Raw genomic sequence first — 26682 nt, forward strand, 5'->3', positions numbered from 1 at the left:
TGAAAGGAAAAAACAAATAACCTATCAACCAAGAATTCTAAATCCAGCAAAACTAACTTTCAAAAATAAAGTGATTAGACTGAGGTCAGTACTACAGTGATACCAAAACCAGTCAAAGACATCTCACACACACACACAACTTTTGTAGACCAATTTCCCTTATGAGTATAAATGCAAAAGTCTCAACAAAATACTAGCCAACTGAATTCAGCAGCATATAAAAAGGATACACACTAAGACCAAGTGGAACTGATCTCAGAAATACAAGGTAGGTTCAACAAATAAAAATCAATGTAGTATACTATATTAATGCAATAATCCAACACATTATTAATACAATAAATGGTAAAATAAACATATCATTTTGATATATGCAGAAAAAAAACATTTGACAAAAACCAATAACCTATTGTAATTTTAAAAGAAAAAAGCACTCAGCAAACAAGTAATAGTGGGGAACTTCCTCAAACTGATAAAAGTCATCTATTAAAAACCCAAGCATTCCTATACACCAATAACAGACAAACAGAGAGCCAAATCATGAGTGAGCTCCCATTCACAATTGCTACAAAGAGAATAAAATACCTAAGAAAACAACTTACAGGGGATGTGAAGGACCTCTTCAAGGGGAACTACAAACCCTGCTCGAGGAAATAAGAGAGGACACAAATAAATGAAAAAACATTCCATGCTCATGGATAGGAAGAATCAATATCATGAAAGAGCCATACTGCCCAAAGTAATTTATAGATTCAGTGCTATCCCCATCAAGCTACCATTGATTTTCTTCCCAGAACTGGAAAAAAAATAAATTTCATATGGAACCAAAAAAGAGCCCACATTGCCAAGACAATCCTAAGCAAAAAGAACAAAGCTGGAGGCATCACACTACCTAACTTCAAACTATATACAAGGCTACAGTAACCAAAACAGCCTGGTACTGGTACCAAAACAGATATATAGACCAATGGAACAGAACAGAGGCCTCAGAAATAACACCACACATCTACAATCATCTGATCTTTGACAAACCTGACACAAACAGCAATGGGGAAAGGATTCCCTATTTAATAAATGGTGTTGGGCAAACTGGCTAGCCATATGCAGAAAACTGAAACTGGACCCCTTCCTTATACCTTATACAAAAATTAACTCAAGATGAATTAAAGACTTAAACGTAAGACCTAAAACCATAAAACCCCTAGAAGAAAACCTAGCCAATACCATTCAGGACATAGGCACGGGCAAAGAATTCATGACTAAAACACCAAAAGCAATGGCAACAAAAGCCGAAATTGACAAATGGGATCTAATTAAACTGAAGAGCTTCTGCACAGCAAAAGAAACTATCCTCAGAGTGAACAGGCAACCTACAGAATGGGAGAAAATTTTTGCAATCTACCTATCTGACAAAGGGCTAATATCTAGAATCTACAAAGAACTTAAATTTACAAGAAAAAACAACCCCATCAAAAAGTGGGCAAGGGATATGAACAGACACTTCTCAAAAGAAGACATTTATGCAGCCAACAAACATGAAAAAATCTCATCATCACTGGTCATTAGAGAAACGCAAATCAAAACCACAATGAGATACCATCTCATGCCAGTTAGAATAGCGATCATTAAAAAGTCAGGAAACAACAGATACTAGAGAGGATGTGGAGAAATAGGAGCGCTGTTACACTGTTGGTGGGACTGTAAATTAGTTCAACCATTGTGGAAGACAGAGTGGCAATTCCTCAAGGATCTAGAACTAGGAATACCATTTGACCCAGCAATCCCATTACTGGGTATATACCCAAAGGATTATAAATCACGCTACTATAAAGACACATGCACACGTAGGTTTATTGTGGCACTATTCACAATAGCAAAGACTTGGAACCAAGCCAAATATCCATCAATGACAAACTGGATAAAGAAATGTGGCACATATACACCATGGAATACTATGCAGCCATAAAAAAGGATGAGTTCATGTCCTTTGCAGGGACATGGATGAAGCTGGAAACCATCATTCTCACCAAACTAACACAGGAACAGAAAACCAAACACCACATGTTCTCACTCATAAGTGGGAGTTGAACAATGAGAACACATGGACACAGGGAGGGGAACATCACACACCAGGGCCTGTCGTGGGGTGGGGGGCTAGGGGAGGGATAGCATTAGGAGAAATACCTAATGTAGATGATGGGTTGATGGGTGCAGTAAACCACCATGGCACGTGTATACCTATGTAACAAACCTACACGTTCTGCACATGTACCCCAGAACTTAAAATATAATTTTAAAAAAACATAAGTAACATCATACTTAACGGTGAAAGATTGAAAGCTTTCCTCTAAAATCAGGAATAAGACAAGAATATCTACTTTCACCATTTCTATTTAAGATTGTACTGGAGGTCCTACACTACAGCACAATTAAACAAGAAAGTAAAATAAACTGCATCCAGATTATGATGGCAGAAGAAAAAATTATCTCTATTTGCAAAGTGACATGATCCTGTATGGAAAAAATCCTAAGGAATACATACATACACAGAAACACCCCCCAACACACACACACACACACACCAGCTAATAAGTGAGTTTAGCAAGGTTATAGAAGATCAATATATAAAAAATCAGTTGTAGTTCTACACATTCACAATGAACAATCTGAAAATGAAATGAAGTAAACAATTCAATCCAATAGTATAAAAAGAATAAATTAACAGAATAAGTGCAAGACTTGTACACATGAAACTATAAAACTTCATTGAAAGGAATTAAAGAAACAAATGGAAATACATTTTGTCTTCATGTATTGGAAGAATCAATACTCCCCAAACTGATCTACCAATTCAGTGTAATCCCTATTGAAATTCCATCTACCTATTTGTAGAAATTGACAAGATAATTGTAAAGTTCATATGAAAATGAAAGGATTTACGATAGCAAAAACAATCTTGAAAAAGAACAAAGTTACAGCACTCATACTTAATGATTTTAAAGCTTACTTCAAAACTATAGTAATCCAAACACTGTGGTACTGGCCTACAACAGACATATAGATCATAGGACAGAATTGAGAGTCCAGAAATGAGACTATATACATGTAAAAAACAAGTGACTAATTGAATTTTGACAAGGGTAGGTACCAAGACAATTCAGTGAGCAAAGAACAGTCTTTTCAGCAAATGGTGCTGGGATAACTGGATATCTACACACAAAAGAATAAATGTAGACCCATATCTCACACCATATACAAAACTTAACTCAAAATAGATCAAAGACCTAATTGTAAGGGCTAAAACTATAAAACTTCTAGAAGAAAACATAGAGGTAAATCTTTGCGATGTTAGATTAGGCAACAGTTTCTTAGATATGACACCTAAAGCATGAGCAACCAAAGGAAAAATAGATACATGGACTTTAAAATAAGAAACATTTGTGCTTTAAAGGACACTATCCAGAAAGTGAAAAATAACCCACAGACTTGGAGAAAATATTTGCAAATCATATAGTTAATGAGGGCCTACTATCAAGAACATGTAAAGAATTCTTACAACTCAAGAATAAAGAGACAACCCAATTTTAAAATGGGCAAAGAATTTGAATAAATTTTCCCAAAGAAAATATACAAATGGCCAATAAGCACATGAAAAGATGTTCAGCATCATTAGTTATCAAGAAAATACAAATCAAAAGCATGAGATATCACTTCACATTCACTAGGACAGCTATAGTAAAAAACAAATAAAATAAAATAACAAGTGCTGGAGAGTGTATAAAGAGATGTGGAGAAACTAGAACCTCCATATACTGCTGGTGGGAATGTAAAATGGTATAGCCAGAAATCAGTTCGGGATTTCCTCAAAAAGTAAAACACATCTACCATATGATCCAGCAATTCTACTCTTAGATCCAAGATAATTGAAAACATGTTCACACAAAAATGTACACAAATGTTCACAGCAGCATTATTCATAATAGCCAAAAAGTTGCAAACAACCCATCAGCTGATGAATAAGTTGCAAAAATGCCCATCAGCTGATGAATAAAGAAAACATGGTATATACATACAATAGAGTATTATTTGGCCACTGATATATATTCAACATGGATGAACCTTGAAAATATTCTGCTAAGTAAAAGAAGCTAGATACAAAGCCCATATATTATATGAGTCTATTTATATGAAATGTCCAGAATAGGCAAATCATAAGAGACAGAAAGCAGATTAGTGTATTTCAGGGCTTGGGAAGTGACTAATAGGTATGAGGTTTCTTCGTGGGGAGATGAAAATGTTCTCAATTACATAGTGTGATGATTGTACAACCATGAAAATATATGTTTTAAAATGGTAGATTTTATGGTCTATAAATTATATTTAAATTTTTAAAAATTAAGTCGTCCCTAAAAATTTGCCAAAATTAATTTAAGTGAAGTCTGTTACCCAACTTCAAACTATACTACGGGGCTACAGTAACCAAAAAAGCATGGTGCTAGAACAAATACAGACACACACCAATGGAACAGAATAGAGGGCCCAGAAATAATGCTGTGCACCTACCAGCATCAAATCTTTGACAAAGCTGACAAAAGCAATGGGAAAAGGACTCCCTATTCAATCAGTGGTGCTGGGATAACTGGCTAGCCATATGCAGAAGATTAAAACTGGATCCCTTCCTTATACCATATACAAAAATCAACTCAAGATGGATTAAAGACTTAAATGTAAAACCCAAAACATAAAAGCTTTGGAAGATCACCTAGGCAATACCATTCTATACATAGGAACTGGCAAAGATTTCATGATAAAGATGCCAAAAGCAACTGCAACAAAAACAAAAATTGACAAATGGGACCTAATTAGACTAAAGAGCTTCTGCACAGAGGAAAAAAAGAAACTAATCAACAGAACAGACAATCCACAGAATGGGAGAAAATACTTGCAAACTATGCAACTGACAAGGGTCAAATATCCAGAATCTATAAGGAACTTAAATTAACAAGCAAAAAATAAACAACCCCATTAAAAAGTGGGCAAAGGACATGAACACTTTTCAAAATATGACATACATGCAGCCAATAAGCATATGAAAAAATACTCAACATCACTAATCATTAGAGAAATGCAAATCAAAACCACAATGAGATACCATTTCATACCAGTCAGAATGGCTATTTTTGAAAAGTAAAAAAATAACAGATAGTGGTGAGGTTGCAGAGAAAAGGGAATGCTTATACACTGCTGGTGGAAATGTAAATTAGTTCAACCACTGCAGAAAGCAGTTTGACGACTTCTCAAAGAACTACCATTTGACCCAGCAATCCCATTATTAGGTATACACCCAAAGGAATATAAATCATTCTACTATAAAGACACATGTATGCATATGTTCATTGCACCAACACTGTTTACAATAGCAAAGACATGGAATCAACCTAAATGTCCATCCACGGTAGACTGGATAAAGAAAATGTGGTACACATACACCATGGAATACTACACAGCCATAAAAAAGAATAAGATCATGTCTTTTGTAGCAACATAGATGGATTGGAGGCCATTATCCTAAGCAGACTAATGCAGGAACAGAAAACCAAACACGGCATGTTCTCACTTATAAGTGGGAGCTAAACACTGAGTACACATGGACACAAAGAAGGGAACAATAGACACTGGGGCCTGCTTGAGAATGGAGGGTGAGAGGAGTGTGAGGATTCAAAAAACTACTGATTGGGTACTATGCTCAAACCTGAGTGACAAAACAACATAGACACCAAACCCTTGCAACATGCAACTTATTTATGTAACAAACCTGCACATGGACCCCTGAAACTAAAAGTTAAAAAGTCTCCATCTTGAAACTATTAATCCTAAATGCTTTCCCAGCTCAAAGGATCTATGTCTTTGACTAGCATTTTAGTCAGTTCGACTTAAAATTCACTACTCTTTCTTCCTTGGGTGGGAAGCCCTTCTTCATTTCTCCCAGTCTACACCTTCCAGCCTCTTATTATGATGATTTAGCCCACTAGGTCTCATTCTTTTTATCTGACTTGTCACCAATCTCCTTATCTATATAATAAAGGGACTCCCTCCCCTTTCTAACACTTCTCCTGTACTTGAACTTGACTTCTGTGTTTTAAATAGGTAGGACTCTTTTTCCTTCAGCAATTAACAAACATCAAATGGAACACAATAGCTTTAAAAGGAATTACATAGAAATTGTTTCACAATGGACTTTAAAACTGTACTCCTTAAGTTCCCAGTGGCTAAAAATAGTCATTTGTTTGCTCTGCCAGGAACTCATACAAAATAGGAAAATTTTCCCCGCTCCATGTTTTATCTCCTCTACACAATAACAAAATAAGTGCAACAGACTATTTTAGCCAGACATAAGCCTGTCAAAGCTGAAAAACAGGATTCAGAGGAAAGGGTAGATAGGAGCTTTTCTACTCCACTCCCATGAAACTGACAGCTACTGCTGTTATGAACCAATACATCATTATTTACATTGGGTGTGGGAATATGTAAGCTTTGTAAGAAGCACAGAGAGCCCTTTGACAACTAGGTCAATTCTCACAATGGCAACACCCTAAGCAGCATTTCCAGGGGTAGCGGTTGTAATGTGCTAAAGCTGGCCTGTATCAACTTGCAAGAGCCAATTGTTAAATTTTCAGGAATTTTGAGATATAGTTGTCAAATACAATTACTATTAAAAATTAAATTATAGGCCAGGTGCCATGGCTCACGTCTATAATCCCAGCACTTTGGGAGACCAAGGTGGGAGGATCACTTGAGGCCAGGAGTTCAAGATCAGCCTAGCAACACAGGGAGACCTCATCTCCAGAAAAATAAAAAATAAAAATAAAAAATAATTATCCAGGCATGGTGGTGTGTGCCTGTAGTCCTAGCTACTTGGGAGGCTCAGGAGGATCACTTGAGCCCAGGAGTTCGAGGCTTCAGTGAGCTACGATCACGCCACTGTATTCCAGCGTGGGTGACAGAGCAAGACCCTGTCCCTAAAAAAAAGGAAAATAAATAAATTATATAAACTTATAATAAATGATATAGGAACAAAAGTAATAAATACTCAAAATTCATCACTTCCTAATCATTTCATCACAGTTTATGCTGCAATCTTGCGGTTCTTTGTGCCTACTGCATTTGTATGCTGAAAATACTACACAATGGTGTGTTCATGCACATCTCTTCCCAACTCCACAGCAGTGATGGCAGCTTAAAATTAGCCATGGTGGGTGTGCTTATACCATGGAATTGGCAAATGCCATAAATCAGAGCTTATTTTTCTGGAAAGGTGATTGCTAAATATTTACCAACACACCACTGGACAGCCATAAACTGTAGTCTGTTTTTCCTCTGGAATAGCCTATTGGTTCCACTTCGAAACTCTTATTCAGTGCTTAGCATCCTGATTTGCATCTACATATGCCTGATATATAAGCTAATGATAAAAGTTCACCAAATGAAGCCACGCAGTCTGTTACCTATTTAAAAATTGATATTTTTCATAGATTTATTGAATGTTAAAGTTGGAAGGAGCCTTAGAAGGCATGTATCGAAACTGTTCACTAGTGGAAGGACTCTCCCCTCTGACATTCTCGGACAGATGTCAATTTAGTTTCTCTCCTCTCTGTGCTGCCACGTGTGCTATTCCCTCCACGTGGGACATTCTTCCTACCATCCTGCCCTTGCCCAGGTTCATCTTTTTCTGGATCACTCTTTGTCACTCTTAAACACCACCTCTTCCAAGAAGGCTTCCCTAACCTCTAAGGCTGACCTGGTAGCCCTTCCACGTGTTCTTGGATCACACACTACTTCCTCCTACACAGCGTTAGTCACACTCTGTGAAATTCCCAGTTTCTCCTTCCTCAGACCGTAAGCGCTAAGGACAGGCAACACACTTACTTCGTTCATTACTTTACTCCTGTTGCCCTATCCAGGTGTTTGTCAAAAGAAGCACTCTATAAATGTGAACAAATGAATGAAGGAAGGAATGAATGAATTAGGCAGTAGGAAAGGCACTGAACTTCAACTCCTAAAACAACACTCAACTCCCAACTCTGCCCTTACTAACTAGCTGTGAGCCCTCTGTTAAGTTACGTTAAGCTCTGTTAGCCTTCGTTTACTTACACATAAAATGAAAAAAGTAGGACTAACTCACCACACTGTTGAGGATTAAATGGGATGATTTATGAACATAAAGCTTTTGGTAAACTGCAAAATGGCTTTAAAATGCCATATACTGTATTATTATTTCTGGGCACTTCCAGAGAAGGGGAGCTTACATTTTGCAATGCCACCCAGTCCAATTTTGATAGCTATAATTGTCACAATCTCCGTAAATTCAACTCTTGTCCTAAAATTCTTCCAACTCAACATAATAATCTAATCTTTTTTCCATATGATAACCTTTTAAATAGTGAAGATCAGAGCTAAGTTACCCTTACTAACTTTGTCTTCTCAAGGCTAAACAGTTTCAGCTTCTTTGAGGAGGTGGAAGGAAACTTACCTTCAGAGAAACTCTCTTTTTGATAATTTGGGCAGTACTAAAGAGCCCTATATTCATTTTCTATTGCTGCTGTAACAAATCAGCACAAACTCAGTGGCTTAAACAATACAAATTCAGTATCTTACAGTTCTGTAAGTTAGAAATCTAACAGCCTCCCTGGGCTAAAATCAAGGTGTCAGCGGGGCTGCATTCCTTTCTGGAGGCTTTAGGAGAGAATCTGTTTCCATGCTGATTCTCCACAGCTGGGAAAGGTTCTCCGATTTTTTTAAGGACTCGTGTGATTAGATTGGGCCCACCTGGATAATCCAGCAAAAAAATCCCCTCATTTGAAGATCCTTAACCTTAATTAATTCTGCAATGTCTCTTTTGCCATTTAGGGTAACATTTTTACAGGTTCCAGGAATTAGGACGTGGACACCTTTGGGGGGCCGTTATTCTGCCTACCACAAGCTCCTTTATGGCCATTTTCCCTCTTATATTTGTCAACATCATTTACCCACATACACACTTTTACCTTTTTAATTTGATATAAATACACACACATACATATGCACATACATATGTGTGTGCTTATAAATAAATTATCCCTTTCTCCCCTGCTTACTCTGAGTGTCTATTCACATGCTAGCCATGGGGCATCCTATACAGTAGATTATACTTCAGATTTCCAATTCTGATCATTGCTTTTCAAACTAAATATGGATTTATCTTAAGTGACATGTGGTCACTTATCTCAGGCTTTGTCCACACAGCATCAAAATATTAAGTAAAAATGAAAATTCAGTCCATTTTCCAGATTTACCTAATTTCAGGGATCTGAAATACAAAAAAAGATGACGCAAGGCCTTCTAGCAGCCTTGCCCCCAAAAAGAGCCTTGGTTGAGCAAAACTCCCTGAGCCAACCAGCCCTCTAGCCTAGCTCACTGCTCTTGATAAGTGCTGTGTTCTTTCTACGATACCCAAAGATTGCCTAGGTTCAAATTCTGGCCACTTACTAAGCCTGTGATCTTAATCCACTTAATCTATTTGTGTTTTAGTTTACTCATCAGTAAATTGGAGATAACAGAGCACCTTCTAGAGGCTTATGATGAGGAGTGAATGAGTTAATACATATAAAATACTTATACTGCTGCCTGATAAATTATAAACACTCAATGCACATTGTAAGGGGGTATGAGACAGGGAATAAGTCTAAATCACTACCCAGCGAAGAGTCTTTGATGACTCCTGTGGTAAAGGTGAAGGAGGAAGGAGGAAATATAGAGCATGTCTATGTCTTAAAACCCATTTATCTTAAAGAAGACTAAATAAGGGGGATGGGGGGGTACACTTAAAGGCACCCCTGATGAAAAACCTCTGTCTCCACATAAGTCCAATCAGAAATTGATTGGGTAAACAAGCCCCTACTTTTTAATACAAACTGACAACTGAGGCAAATATAATAATTCCACAAGCATTTAATGAGCACCTATAATACGACTCCTATCACAAGGATCGTGCAGTCTAGTTGAGTATTTCTCAAAAGCTTTTGACCTGATCTACAATAACAAATACCTTGTTTTTACTTTGTTTTGTTTTGTTGTTGTAGTTGTTGTTGTTTTGAGATGGAGTCTCACTCTGTCGCCCATGTTGCAGTGCAATGGCACGATCTCGGCTCACTGCAACTTCTGCCTCCCAGGTTCAAGCGATTCTTCCATCTCAGCTTCCCAAGTAGCTGGGATTACAGGCACCCTCCATCATGCCCAGCTAATTTTTGTATTTTTAGTAGAGACGGGTTTTCACCATGTTAGCCAGGCTGGTCTTAAACTCCTGACCTCAGGTGATCTGCCCACCTTGGCCTCCTAGAGTGCTGGGATTACAGGTGTGAACCACCACGCCCAGCCAACAAATAGGTTTTTACATTATGACCCAACACACACATACATGTATATACTGAAACAAATACTCTACCTTCTATTCTTTTTTTTTTTTTTTTTTTTGAGACAGGGTCTCACTCTTTCACCCAGGCTGGAGTGTAGCTGCACAATCATAGTTCACTGCAGCCTCGAACTCCTAGGCTGAAGTGATCCAACTACCTGAGCCTCCCCAGTAGCTAGAACTACAGGTGCCCACCACCACCACAGCCAGCGAATTTTTTAATTTATTGCAGTGATGGAGTCTCCCTATGTTGCCCAGGCTATTCTCAAACTCCTGGGCTCTAGCAATCCTCCCACCTTGGCCTCCCAAAGCATTGGATTATAGGCATGAGCTATTGTGCCTGGCCTTACCTTTTCTTCTTGTCTATTCTATTCCTCTTTTAAAAAACTCTTGTCACAACACCCCTCATCCCACTAAATTGATTTCACTACCCATTAATGGTCATGATCCAAAGTTTGACCAAACTGGTATTGAAAAACCTCAATCGGGACATGTGAGGAATTAACTTTAACACAATGGAGAATGGAAATGTGGAGAATGGGTTTCTCCCTAAATAGGAGCTTGAAATGAATAACCATCAAGGTCTCAGTCAATTCTAAAGGCCACTCATGGCCGGGCTCAGTGGCTCAAGCCTATAATCCCAGCACTTTGGGAGGCCGAGGTGAGCAGATCACCTGAGATCGAGAGTTCGAGACCAGCCTGACCAACATAGAGGAACCCCGTCTCTACTAGAAATACAAAATTAGCTGTGTGTGGTGGCACACACCTGTAATCCCAGCTACTCAGGAGGCTGGGACAGGAGAATCACTTGAGCCCAGGAGGCGGAGGTTTTGGTGAGCCAAGGTCGTGCCATTGCACTCCAGCCTGGGCAACAAGAGCAAAACTCTGTCTCAAAAAAAAAAAAAAAAAAAAAAAGCCACTCATTACAATATGTTCAGACATTAAATGGCATAGTCTGATCTATATTAAGTACACTTCTCATATAAAGGATAAGAGTTCAACGATTAAATCCTATCTTTTTGGGGTAAATCTACAGGAAGAGACATTTTAATGAAAACCTTCCATGTGACTATAGTCGACTCCCATTCTATAACTTTGTATGTGTAGAAATGGTTCTTTTCAAAATTCCCAATGAAATCAGCACTTCAAACATAATACTTGGGCCATGAAAATACACCCAAATAAAATACGGGTAGGGTTTAAATAACTTATTAAACGTTTTCCAGCAGATCCTGAATCTAATGATGAATATGTTTTAATGACCCCATCATATTTGTTACAAAATAGTACATTTTTTATTTCAATAGTTTTGGGGGTACAGGTGGTTTCTGGTTACATGAATAAGTTCCTTAGTGGTGATTTCTGAGATTGTGATGCACCCACCACCCTAGCAGAGTACACTGTACCTAATATGTAGTCTTTTATCCCTCACCCCCATCCATCCTTCCCCTTGAGTCCCCAAAGTCCTTTATATCATTCTTATGCCTTTGCATCCTCATAGTTTAGCTCCCACTTATAAGTGAGAACATATGATAGTTGGTTTTCCTTTCCTGAGTTACTTCAGTTAGAATAATGGCCTCTAGATCCATCCAAGTTGCTACAAGGGCCATTATTTCATTCCACTTTATGGCTGAATAGTATTCCATGCTGTGTACATACATTTTCTTTATCCACTCCTTGACTGATGGGCATTTAGGTTGGTTCCATATTTTTGCAATTAAGAATTATGCTGCTATAAACGTGTGTGCATGTGTCTTTTTTATATAATGACTTCCTTTCCTTTGGGTAGATACTCAGCAGTGGGATTGCCAGATCAAATGGTAGTTCTACTTTTGGTTCTTTAAGAAATCTCTATCTTGTTTTCCATAGTAGTTGTACTAGTTTACATTCCCACTAGCAGTGTAAAAGTGTTCCCTTTTCACCACATCCACACCAGCACCTATTATTTTTTGGCTTTTTAATTATGGGCATTCTTGCAGGAGTAAGGTATCTCATTGTGGTTTTAATTTGCGTTTCCCTGATAATTAGTGATGTTGAGCATTTTTCATAAGTTTGTTGGCTGTCTGTATATCTTCTGTTGAGAATTGTCTATTCATGTCCTTTGCCTACTTTTGGATGGGATTATTTGTTTTTTTCTTGTTGACTTGCTTAAGTTCCTTGTAGATTCTGGATATTAGTCCTTTGTCAGATATGTAGTTGGAGAATATTTTCTCCCACTCTGTGGGTTGTCTGTTTACTCTGTTGATTATTTTTTTGGTAGTGTGGAAGCTTTTTAATTTAGTTAGGTCCCATTTATTTATTTTTGTTCTCGTTGCGTTTGCTTTTGGGTTCTCAGTCATGAATTATTTGCCTAAGCCAATGTCTAGAAGAGTCTTTCCAATGTTATCTTCCAGAATTTTTATAGTTTCAAGTCTTAGATTTGAGTCTTTGATTCATCTTGAGTTGATTTTTGTATAAGGTGAGAGATGAGGATCCATTTTCATTCTTCTACATGTGGCTTGCCAATTTTCCCAGTACCATTCATTGAATATGGTGTCCTTTTCCCAACTTTATGTTTTTGTATGCTTTGTTGAAGGTCAGTTGGCTATAAGTGTTTGACTTTATTTCTGTGCTCTCCATTCTGTTCCATCGGTCTACATGCCCATTTTTATACCAGTGCCATGCTGCTTTGGTAACTATAGCCTTGCAGTATATAATGTGATGCCTCCAGATTTGTTCTTTTTGCTTAGTCTTGCTTTGGCTATGGAAGCTCTTTCTTGGTTCTGTATGAATTTTGGTATTGTTTTTCTAGTTCTGTGAAGAATGACAATAGTATTTTAACGGGAATTGCACTGAATCTGTAGATTGCTTTTGGCAGTATGGTCATTTTCACAATATTGATTCTACCCATCCATGAAGTTGGGATGTGTTTTCATTTGTTTTTGTCACCTATGATTTCTTTCAGCAGTGTTTTGTAGTTCTCCTTGTAAAGATCTTCCACCTCCTTGGTTAAGCATATTCCTAATTATTTTATTATTTTTTGCAGCTATTTTAAAAGGGACTGAGTTCTTGATTTCTTAGCTTCATCATTGTTGGTGTATAGCAGTCCTACTGATTTGTGTACATTGATTTTGTATCCTGAGACTTTACTGGATTCACTTATCAGATCTAGAAGGTTTTTGGTAGGGCTTTCTAGGTATATGATCACATCATTGATGAACAGTGACAGTTTGACTTTCTCTTTTCCAATCTGGGTGCCCTTTATTTATTTCTCTTGTCTGATTGCTGTGGCTAGGATTTCCAGTACTATGTTAAACAGAAGTGGTGAAAGTGGGCATCCTTGTCTTGTTCCAATTCTCAAGGGAAATGCTTTCAACTTTTCCCCATTCAATATGATGGTGGCTGTGGTTTTGTCATAGTTGGCTTTTATTACTTTGAGGTATGTCCCTTCTATGCCAATCTTGTTGAGAGTTTTTATCATAAAGAGATGCTGGATTTTATCAAATGCTTTTGCTGTGTCTATTCAAATGACGATATGATTTTTGTTTTTAATTCTGTTTATGTGATATATCACATTTACTGACTTGTATTAAACCATCCCTGCATCCCTAGTATGAAACCCACTTGATCTGATGTATTATCTTTTTGGTATGCTGTTTGATTCCGTTAGCTAGTATTTTGTTGAAGATTTTTGCATCTATCAAAACAGTAATATTTTAAAGTATTGCCCTTAATATGTCATAACTCTAAGATATAAAAATGGAAATTCTACAAAATGATCAAAGAAAGCTACTTATAAAGGATTAAATGTGCAAATGATTCCTTCTGCGCCAACTATTATTACAAATAAAGCTCCAGATCAAAGGGTAGATCTTCTTTAAGTAGATTATGCTCATAGATAAAACAGACTAATGAATTTTACAGTAGTTTTCTGTTGGGTCAATAATCTATAGATTAATTCTCCTTTATTTCTAGTGACTAAGTTTTCCTTGCTACTTATGCTTTTCTCTATAACTGACAAAAATTTACATAATGATATACAATTTCTTTTTTTCATAGTTTGTATTTATTGGGCACCTAATTTATATAAGATCTCGTTCTTGGTCTTGTGGAAATAGAGGGTAGATATACAAAAAAAATATCAACCAGAGTCTCTAAAAAATACAATCTAACATAAAATGTGACACAGATAAACGAAGTATACAAAGTGCTACTGGCTCAAAGAAGGGAGAGATGATCTCCAGCAAGGTAAAAAATGAAGAGTCCATAAAGGGATTTCACTTAAAATTGGCAGAAGCTGGAAGGAAAAGCATTCCTGTAACAGCTATGGTCCTAAGGCAAGAGTGTTTGTGGAGGCAGGAGGTCAAAATGTTCAGAATTTTATTGTAAGCTCATTTCTTATGAGCTTCTTAAGCTTATATTTTTTATTTTTAAGTCTAATACATAAAATACTAAAAGCCTAGTTCTTTCACCTTACTGTACTGTCCTTCTTAGGTTCTCGCCTGTACTGTGCTGACTCAGATTTCTTCTTGCACAAGCTTGTTCCCCATCTCATAGAGTCAGCATGACTTTGCTAGGGAAGTGACAAACTACTTTCACTCTGATCAAATTTTGACCTTGGCCTTCCTCAGGTACACAATTACCTAGTTCCCTGCTCTTCTTTCTTCCTATTGTGCCTTATAACTTCCCATTATATTTAGCATATTTAGCGCCCCTAGGTTTAGCACTGAGTTGCTTTTCACATTAGATTTCTCAAGGACTTACTATTGTAGCCCAAATAGAGAAAAAATTAAACAAATTATGAAATTCCTATTTATATATTCCTTCATTCTACAAATGACAATTGATTCTTTGGTTATAAGCGGCACTCTTATGAATAATGATGCATATAAGTTGCTAATGTATACCATCACTTTTTTGCCACTTAGTCAAAACTATTTACTAAAGCAAGCAAGGAGTCCTGTGCCATCATGGAGAGCGTGTGGAGCTAACCACCCTACAGCTTGCTTCTGCTCATCAAGGAAATCAAGAACCTGCTGGTTTTGTCCCTGCTCACCTAACATCTCACTTCTTTTTCCTCATCACAATACTGCTAATTCCACCTAATAGAATCCCTTATGCTTGTGTGTAGCCCGTTCCTACCACCTTGCTTTCAAATGCTGACCCATACCTCAAGAAGCTCTCCCTCTCTATATGTTTCATTTGCAGTGTAAATAAGGCACTATTCATGAATGCTGGTTTTGTCTATAGTGCTACTGATATTACTGTATCAACCAAAAACAGAACTATAAGTCTGATTGTAAAAATTACAGTCCATATAGAATCATGCTATCCACCTCTACACTGCTCGTAGATCCAAACCATCCCCTCACAATCCTTGCAACTTTTTCATCCCCCTGAAATTGAGGCTGCTTTTTTAAATCAAAAGTACTCAAGACTTTAAAACATTACTTCAATCACGGTAACTTTTTTTTTAATTTTTGGGGGTATATAGTAGGTGTATATATTTATGGGATACATGAGATATTTTGATGCAGGCATGCAATGTGTAATAACCACATCAGGATAAATGGGGTATCCATCACCTCAAACATTTATCCTTTGTGTTATAAACAATTCAATTATACTCTTTTAGTTATTTTTAAATGTACAATTACATGATTATTGACTACTGTCACCCTGCAGTGCTATCAAATACGAGTTCTTATTCATTCTATTTTTTGTACCAATTAACCACCCCCACTTCCCCACCCCACCCCACACCACTACGCTTTCCAGCTCTGGTAACCATCCTTCTACCCTCTATCTCCATGAGTTTACTTGTCTTAGTATTTTAGCTCCCAGAAATAAGTGAGAACATACTAAGTCTGTCTTTCTGTGCCTGGCTTATTTCACTTAACATAATGATTTCAGGTTCTAACTATGTTGTTGCAAATGACAGGATCTCATTCTTCTATATGGCTGAATAGTACTCCATTGTATATATGTGTCACATTTTCTTTATCCATTCATGTGTTGACAGACACTTAGGTTGCTTCCAAATTTATGGTAACTTCTATTTTTTGATAAATGACTATAATTATTATTAACACATTTTCTACAAATTTTCTATTTCATTTTAACACAATAACAGATTAAACCTTTGTGGGTTAGCCTGGAAACTTAGCCATCGTGAATAAAACCACTCTATGGGGGAAAAAAATCTGAGCTGTAAAAAATTAAACTAAAACTAATTTATAGATTCTATTTGGAGATGCTTGCCAATTCCTGAGGAAACAACAGATAGACTGAGTGGGATGTTACTGATAGCCTCCAGGGATCATGCGGATAAGAAATACAGTCTAAAGTCCACCAAGGTTGAGTACCTCAGGAGCCTTATTACATTGAGGTAGAACTCTGAAGGACTTCCAACCTACAGCAATAGGCATCAAATCATCTCATTCTCTAAAATTGAGTTGACGTGATCCTGGACTGGTTATACCCACAGGCGCTAGCAGGAACAAACATAATCCTTCTCTGAATGTTGATGACACCATCCTGGACCTCAGATTATCTCTGCAAACAATGTTTCAAATATAATGTCTGGCAAACAATTTAATTTTTTTAAAACAGCCACATGACTAGACAAGCAAACATGAATAAAACCAGGAATATAAACTCACCAACTGAGGCTCCAAACATTAAAGTTATCAGATAGAGACTCTAACTATCAAAGAAATACAGACAAGAAAATTATAATAAATGAGAAAACACAAAAAATGAACAAAAGGACATTAAAGACCTGAAAAATGCAATTGCAAAAATTAGAAACTCAAAGGATGGTCATAATAGCAGATTAAACTCAGCTGAACTGGAAGAGAAGTCAGAAAAATGAACAATTAAAATGCATCCAGATTAAATCAAGGAGAAAATACAAAATATTGAAAAGAATACAAGAGACATATGGAATAAACAAAATTGACAAACTCTTAGCTATACTAAGAAAAAAAGAGAATACTCAAATAAAATCAGAAATGAAAGAAGAGATATTACAGCTCATGCTACAGAAATAAAAAGAATCATAAGAGACTACTACGAACAATTATACGCCAACAAACTGGATAACCTAGAAGAAACAGAAAAATTCTTAGAAACATAGAACCTACCAAGATAAATTCAAGAAACAGAAAGTCTAAACAGATCTATAACTAGTATGGCAATTGAATCATTAATCAAAAACCTCCCAACAATGAAAAGCCCAGGATTATAGACTTCACTGGTGAATTCCAAATTCATTTTATAAGAGCTGCATTAGCCCGATACCAAAGCCAGATAAAGATACCACGAAAAAGGAAAACTACATGACAATATCTCTGATGAATACAGATGTAAAAATTCTCAACAAAACACTAGCAAACTGAATTCAACAGCACATTAAAAGGATCACAAACCATGACCAAGTAAGACTTATCTCTGAGATGCAAGGATAGTTCAACACATGAAAACCAATCAATGTGATACACCATATTAACAGAATTGAAAATAAAATCACATCTTTGTCTCAATAGATGCAGAGAAGCATTTGGATAAAATTCAACACTTTTTCATGATAAAAAACAAAAAAACTCTCAACAAACCAGGAATAGAAGAAAACAATCCCAACGTAATAAAGACCATATATGAAAAGCCCATAGTTAACATCACACTCAAAGGCGTAAAACTGAAAGCTTTATAAGATCTGGGGCAAGAAAGACATCCTATGTTCATGGATTGGAATAATTAATATTGTCAAAATGCCCACACTGCCCAAAGCAATCTACAGATTAAACGCAATCCTTACCAATATCCCAACAGCATTTTTTACAAAAAGAAAGCAATCCTAAAATTCACATGCAACCACAAAAGACCACAAATTGCTAAAGCAATCTTAAGAAAGAACAAAGCCAGAAGCATCACACTTCCTGATTTGGAAATATATTACAAAGCTACAGTAATCAAGAATATAATACTGCCATAAAGATAAACATATTGACTAATGGAACAGAATAGAGATCCCAGAAATAAACCCATGCATATATAGTCAACTGACCTTCAACAAAGATGCTAAGAATACACAATGGAGAAAGAACAGTCTCTTCAACAAATGGCACTGGGAAAACTGGATATCCACATATAAAAGAATGAAACTGGGGGCAGATTCCTAGATGGCCGAATAGGCACAGCTCCAGTCTGCAGCTCCCAGCGTGAGCGACAAAGAAGATGGGTGATTTCTGCATTTCCAACTGAGGTACTGGGTTCATCTCACTGGGGCTTGTCAGACAGAGGGTGCAGCCCACGGAGCAGGATGGGGCATCACCTCACCCGGGAAGTGCAAGGGGCGGGGGAATTCCCTTTCCTGGCAAAGGGAAGCCGTGATAGATGGTACCTGGAAAATCGGGGCACTCCCACCCTAATAGTGCACTTTTCCAAATGACCTTAGCAAATGGCATACCAGGAGATTATATCCCGTGCCTGGCTTGGCGGGTCTCACACCCACGAAGCCTCACTCACTGCTAGCACAGTGGTCTGAGATTGAACTGCAAGGTGGCAGCAAGGCTGGGGGAGGGGCGTCCGCCATTGCTGAGGCTTGAGTAGGTAAACAAAGCGCCCTGGAAACTCAAACTGGATGGAGCCCACCACAGCTCAAGGAGGCCTGCCTGCCTCTGTAGACTCCACATCTGGGGCAGGGCATAGCTGAAAAAAAGGCAGCAGAAACTTCTGCAGACTTAAACGTCCCTGTGTGATGGCTTTGAAGACAGTAGCGGTTCTCTCAGCACAGAGTTTGAGATCTAAGAACGAACAGACTGCCTCCTCAAGTGGGTCCCTGACCCCTGAGTAGCCTAACTGGGAAACGCCTCCCAGTAGGGGCCAACTGATACCTCATACAGCCGGGTGCCCCTCTGAGACAAAGCTTCCAGAGAAAGGGTCAGGCAGCAACATCTGCCATTCTGCAACATTTGCTGTTCTGCAGCCTCCGCTGGTGATACCCAAGCAAACAGGGTCTAGAGTACGCCTCCAGCAAACTCCAACAGACCTGCAGGTGAGGGTCCTGACTGTTAGAAGGAAAACTAACAAACAGAAAGGACATCCACACCAAAACTCCATCTGTACGTCACCATCACCAAAGACCAAAGGTAGATAAAAACACAAAGATGGGGAGAAACCAGAGCAGAAAAGCTGAAAATTCTAAAAATCAGAGTGCCTCTTCTCCTCCAAAGCAATGCAGCTCCTCGCCAGCAACGGAACAAAGCTGGACGGAGAATGACTTTGACAAGTTGAGAGAAGAAGGCTTCAGACGATCGGTAATAACAAACTTCTCCAAACTAAAGGAGGATGTTCAAACCCATTGCAAAGAAGCTAAAAACCTTGAAAAAAGATTAGACGAATGGCTAACTAGAATAAACAGTGCAGAGAAGTCCTTAAATGACCTGATGGAGCTGAAAATCACAGCATGAGAACTACGTGACGCATGCACAAGCTTCAGTAGCCAATTTGATAAAGAGGAGGAAAGGGTATCAGTGATTGAACATGAAATTAATGAAATGAAGCGAGAAGAGAAGTTTAGAGAAAAAAGAGTAAAAAGAAACGAATGAAGCCTCCAAGAAATATGGGACTAGGTGAAAAGACCAAATCTATGATTGATTGGTGTACCTGAAAGTGAAGGGAAGAATGGAACCAAGTTGGAAAACCACTCTCCAGGATATTATCCAGGAGAACTTCCCCAACCTAGCAAGGCAGGCCAACATTCAAATTCAGGAAATACAGAGAACACCATAAAGATACTCCTTGAGAAGAGCAACCCCAAGACACATAATTGTCAGATTCACCAAAGTTGAAATGAAGGAAAAAATGTTAAGGGCAGCCAGAGAGAAAGGTCGGGTTACCCACAAAGGGAAGCCCATCAGACTAACAGAGGATCTCTTGGCAGAAACTCTACAAGCCAGAAGAGAGTGGGGGCAAATATTCAACATTCTTAAAGAAAAGAATTTTCAACCCAGAATTTCATATCCAGCCAAACTAAGCTTCATAAGTGAAGGAGAAATAAAATCCTTCAGAGACAAGCAAATGCTGAGAGATTTTGTCACCACCAGGCCTGCCTTACAAGAGCTCCCGAAGGAAGTACTAAACATGGAAAGGAACAACCGGTACCAGCCACTGCAAAAAACATGCCAAATTGTAAAGACCATCAATGCAGGGAAGAAACTGCATCAACTAACAAGCAAAATAACCAGCTAACATCATAATGACAGGATCAAATTCACACATAACAATATTAACCTTAAATGTAAATGGGCTAAATGCCCCAATTGAAAGACACAGACTGGCAAATTGGATAGAGTCAAGATCCATCAGTGTGCTGTATTCAGGAGACCCATCTCACATGCAGAGACACACATAGGCTCAAAATAAAGGGATGGAGGAAGATCTACCAAGCAAGTGGAAAACAAAAACAAAGCAGGGGTTGCAATCCTAGTCTCTGATAAAACAGACTTTAAACCAACAAAGATCAAAAGAGACAAAGAAGGCCATTACTTAATGGTAAAGAGATCAATTCAAAAAGAAGAGCTAACTTCCTAAATATATATGCACCTAATACAGGAGCACCCAGATTCATAAAGCAAGTCCTTAGAGACCTATGAAGAGACTTAGACTCCCACACAGTAATAATGGGAGACTTTAACACCCCACTGTCAACATTAGTCAGATCAACAAGACAGAAAGTTAACAAGGATATCCAGGAATTGAACTCAGCTCTGCACCAAGCGGACCTAATAGACATCTACAGAACTCTCCACCCCAAATCAATGGAATATACATTCTTCTCAGCACCACATCACAATTATTCCAAAATTGACCACATAGTTGGAAGTAAAGCACTCCTTAGCAAATGTAAAAGAACAGAAATTATAACAAACTGTCTCTCAGACCACAGTGCAAACAAACTAGAACTCAGGATTAAGAAACTCACTCAAAACCGCTCAACTACATGGAAACTGAACAACCTGCTCCGGAATGACTACTGGGTACATAACGAAATGAAGGCAGAAATAAAGATGTTCTCTGAAACCAATGAGAACAAAGACACAACACACCAGAATCTCTGGGACACATTTAAAGCAGTGTATAGAGGGAAATTTATAGCACTAAATGCCCACAAGAGAAAGCAGGAAGGATCTAAAATTGACACCCTAACATCACAATTAAAAGAACTAAAGAAGCAAGAGCAAACACATTCAAAAGCTAGCAGAAGGCAAGAAGTAACTAAGATCAGAGCAGAACTGAAGGAGACAGAGACACAAAAAACCCTTCAAAAAAATCAATGAATCCAGGAGCTAGATTTTGGAAATGATAAACAAAATTGATAGACTGCTAGCAAGACTAATAAAGAAGAAAACAGAGAAGAATCAAATAGACACAATAAAAAATGATAAAGGGGATATCACCACCGATCCCACAGAAATACAAACTACCATCAGAGAATACTATAAACACCTCTACGCAAATAAACTAGAAAATCTAGACGAAATGGATAAATTCCTGGACACATACACCCTCCCAAGACTAAACCAGAAAGAGGTTGAATCCCTGAATAGACCAATAACAGGTTCTGAAATTGAGGCAATAATTAATAGCCTACCAACCAAAAAAAGTCCAGGACCAGACGGATTCACAGCCGAATTCTACCAGAGGTACAAAGAGGAGCTGGTACCATTCCTTCTGAAGCTATTTCAATCAATAGAAAAAGAGAAAATCCTCCCTAGCTCATTTTATGAGGCCAGCATCATCCTGATACCAAAGCCTGGCAGAGACACAACAAAAAAAGAGAATTTTAGACCAATATCCCTCATGAACATCGATGCTAAAATCCTCAATAAAATACTGGCAAAACGAATCCAGCAGCACATCAAAAAGCTTATCCACCATGATCAAGTCAGCTTCATCCCTGGGATGCAAGGCTGGTTCAACATATGCAAATCAATAAATGTAATCCAGCATATAAACAGAGCCAAAGACAAAAACCACATGATTATCTCAAAAGATGCAGAAAAGGCCTTTGACAAAATTCAGCAGCCCTTCATGCTAAAAACTCTCAATAAACTAGGTATTGATGGGACATATCTCAAAATAATAAGAGCTATTTATGACAAACCCACAGCCAATATCATACTGAATGGGCAAAAACTGGAAGCATTCCCTTTGAAAACTGGCACAAGACAGGGATGCCCTCTCTCACCACTCCTATTTAACATAGTGTTGGAAGTTCTGGCCAGGGCAATCAGGCAGGAGAAGGAAATAAAGGGTATTCAATTAGGAAAAGAGGAAGTCAAACTGTCCCTGTTTGCAGATGACATGATTGTATATTTAGAAAACCCCATCGTCTCGGCCCAAAATCTCCTTAAGCTGATATGCAACTTCAGCAAAGTCTCAGTATACAAAATCAACGGGCAAAAATCACAAGGATTCCTATATACCAATAACAGACAAACAGACAGCCAAATCATGAGTGAACTCACGTTCACAATTGCTTCAAAGAGAATAAAAAACCTAGGAATCCAACCTACAAGGGATGTGAAGGACCTCTTCAAGGAGAACTACAAACCACTGCTCAATGAAATAAAAGAGATCACAAACAAATGGAAGAACATTCTATGCTCATGGATAGGAAGAATCAATATTGTGAAAAAGGCCATACTGCACAAGGTAATTTATAACGATAATAAATGAAATGATTTCTAATGATAATGAATGAAATTGGATCTTTATCTAAATTTATAATTTATAAGGTAATTTATAATTTATTATATTTATTTATAAATAAATAAAAATTATTTATAATTTATAATTTGTTCAATGCCATCTCCATCAAGCTACCAATGACTTTCTTCACAGAATTGGAAAAAACTACTTTAAAGTTCATATGGAAACAAAAAAGAGCCCCCATTGCCAAGACAATCCTAAGCCAAAAGAACAAAGCTGGAGGCATCACACTACCTGACTTCAAACTATATAAGGCTACAGTAACCAAAACAGCATGGTACTGGTACCAAAACAGAGATATAGACCAATGGAACAGAACAGAGCCCTTGGAAATAATACCACACATCTACAACCATCTGATCTTTGACAAACCTTACACAAACAAGAAATGGGGAAAGGATTCCCTATTTAATAAATGGTGCTGGGAAAACTGGTCAGCCATATGTAGAAAGCTGAAACTGGATCCCTTCCTTACACCTTACACAAAAATTAATTCAAGATGGAGTAAAGACTTAAATGTTAGACCTAAAACCATAAAAACCCTAGAAGAAAACCTAGCCAATACCATTAAGGATATAGGTGTGGGCAAAGACTTCATGACTAAGACACCAAAAGCAATGGCAACAAAAGCCAAAATTGACAAATGGGATCTAATTAAACTAAAGAGCTTCTGCACAGCAAAAGAAACTACCCTCAGAGTGAACAGGCAACCTACAGAATGGGAGAAAATTTTTACAATCTACCCATCTGAAAGGGCTAATATCCAGAATCTACAAAGAACTTAAACAAATTTACAAGAAAAAAAATCAAACAACCCCATCAAAAAGTGGGTGAAGGACATGAACAGACACTTCTCAAAAGAAGACATTTATGCAGCCAATAGACACATGAAAAAAATCTCATCACCACTGGCCATCAGAGAAATGCAAACCAAAACCACAATGAGATACCATCTCATGCCAGTTAGAATGGTGATCATTAGAAAGTCAGGAAACAACAGATACTGGAGAGGATGTGGAGAAAAAAAACACTTTTACACTGTTGGTGGGACTGCACACTAGCTCAACCAATGTGGAAGACAGTGTGGCAATTCCTCAAGTATCTAGAACTAGGAATACCATTTGACCCAGCCATCTCATTACTGGGCATATACCCAAAGGATTATAAATCATGCTGCTATAAAGACACATGCACATGATGTTTACTGTGGCACTATTCACAATAGCAAAGACTTGGAACCAACCCAAATGTCCATCAATGATTGACTGGATTAAGAAAATGTGGCACATATACACCATGGAATACTATGCAGCCATAAAAAGGATGAGTTCATGTCCTTTGCAGGGACATGGGTGAAGCTAGAAACCATGATTCTGAGCAAACTATCCCAAGGACAGAAAACCAAACACCGCATGTTCTCCCTCATAGGTGGAAACTGAACAATGAGAACAGTTGGACACAGGGTGGGGAACATCACACACTGGGGCCAAAAAAAAAAAAAGAATGAAATTGGATCTTTATCTAACACCACACACAAAAACTCAAAATACTTAAACTCAAGAAATGAAAGTGTAACATTCCTGGAAGAAAATCTGGAGGAAAATCTTTTGATATTGTCTTTGGCCATGATTTACTGGATATGACACCAAAAGCACATGCAATAAAAGCAAAAATAGAAAAGCAAGATTACATCAAACTAAAAATCTGCACCACAATGAAAGCAGTCAGCAAAACAAAAAAAGGCAATCTATAAAACGGGAAAAAGCCCTCCCTCTCCCTCTCCCTTTCCCTCTTTCCTCTTTCCTTTCTACGGTCTCCCTCTCCCTCGTCTCCCCTTTCCACGGTCTCCCTCTGATGCCCAGCCGAGGCTGGACTGTACTGCCGCCATCTCGGCTCACTGCAACCTCCCTGCCTGATTCTCCTGCCTCAGCCTGCCGAGTGCCTGGGATTGCAGGCGCGCGCCACCACGCCTGACTGGTTTTCGTATTTTTTTGGTGGAGACGGGGTTTCGCCGTGTTGGCCGGGCTGGTCTCCAGCTCCTGACCGCGAGTGATCTGCCAGCCTCGGCCTCCTGAGCTGCCGGGATTGCAGACGGAGTCTCGCTCACTCAGTGCTCAATGTTGCCCAGGCTGGAGGGCAGTGGCGTGATCTCGGCTGGCTACAACCTCCACCTCCCAGCTGCCTGCGATGGCCTCCCAAAGTGCCGAGATTGCAGCCTCTGCCCAGCCGCCACCCCGTCTGGGAAGTGAGGAGCGTCTCTGCCTGGCCGCCCATCATCTGGGATGTGAGGAGCCCCTCTGCCCAGCCGCCCAGTCTGGGAAGTGAGGAGTGCCTCTTCCCAGCCGCCATCCCATCTAGGAAGTGAGGAGCGTCTCTGCCCGGCCGCCCATCGTCTGGGATGTGGGAAGCGCCTCTGCCCAGCCGCAACCCCGTCTGGGAGGTGAGGAGCGTCTCTGCCCGGCCGCCCCGTCTGAGAAGTGAGGAGCCCCTCCACCCGGCGGCCGCCCTGTCTGAGAAGCGAGGAGCCCCTCCGCTGGGCAGCCGCCCCGTCTGGGAAGCGAGGAGCCCCTCCACCCGGCAGCCGCCCCATCTGGGAAGCGAAGAGCCCCTCTGCCCGGCAGCCTCCCCGTCTGGGAAGTGAGGAGCATCTCCGCCCGGCAGCTGCCCAGTCCGGGAGGTGGGGGGCAGCCCCCGCCAGGCAGCCGCCACTTCCGGGAGGTGGGGGGTGCCTCCGCCCAGCCACCGCCCCGTCTGGGAGGTGGGGGGCGCCTCTGCCCGGCCGCCGCGTCTGGGAAGTGAGGAGCCCCTCTGCCCGGCCGCCACCCTGTCTGGGAGGTGTACCCAACAGCTCATTGAGAATGGGCCATGATGACGATGGCGGTTTTGTCGAATAGAAAAGGGGGAAATGTGGGAAAAAGAAAGAGATCGGATTGTTACTGTGTCTGTGTGGAAAGAAGCAGACATGGGAGACTCCATCTTGTTCTGTACTAAGAAAAATTCTTCTGCCTTGGGATGCTGTTAATCTATAACCTTACCCCCAACCCAGTGCTCTCTGAAACATGTGCTGTGTCCACTCAGGGTTAAATGGATTAAGGGCGGTGCAAGATGTGCTTTGTTAAACAGATGCTTGAAGGCAGCATGCTCCTTAAGAGTCATCACCGCTCCCTAATCTCAAGTACCCAGGGACACAAACACGGCAGAAGGCCGCAGGGTCCTCTGCCTAGGAAAATCAGAGACCCTTATTCACATGTTTATCTGCTGACCTTCCCTCCACTATTGTCCTATGACCCTGCCAAATCCCCCTCTCCGAGAAACACCCAAGAACGATCAATAAATACTATAAAATAAATAAATAAATAAAAAACGGGAAAAAATATTTGCAGACCATATATTTGATAACATATTAACATCTAAATTATATAAGGAACTCTAACAAGTCAGTAGAAAAAATAAAATAATCTGATTTTTAAACAGGTAAA

General features: G+C 39.1%; 1 protein-coding gene across 51 annotated transcripts in view; it reads right to left on the reverse strand.

The window, feature by feature from the left end:
• The window catches only part of STK33 (serine/threonine kinase 33), a 259405-nt gene that overhangs the window by 162954 nt on the left and 69769 nt on the right, over positions 1 to 26682 (reverse strand). The gene's annotated exons all lie outside the window — the stretch shown is intronic.

Source organism: Homo sapiens, chromosome 11 (genome assembly GCF_000001405.40).
Source record: "Homo sapiens chromosome 11, GRCh38.p14 Primary Assembly".
Lineage (NCBI taxonomy): Eukaryota > Metazoa > Chordata > Mammalia > Primates > Hominidae > Homo > Homo sapiens.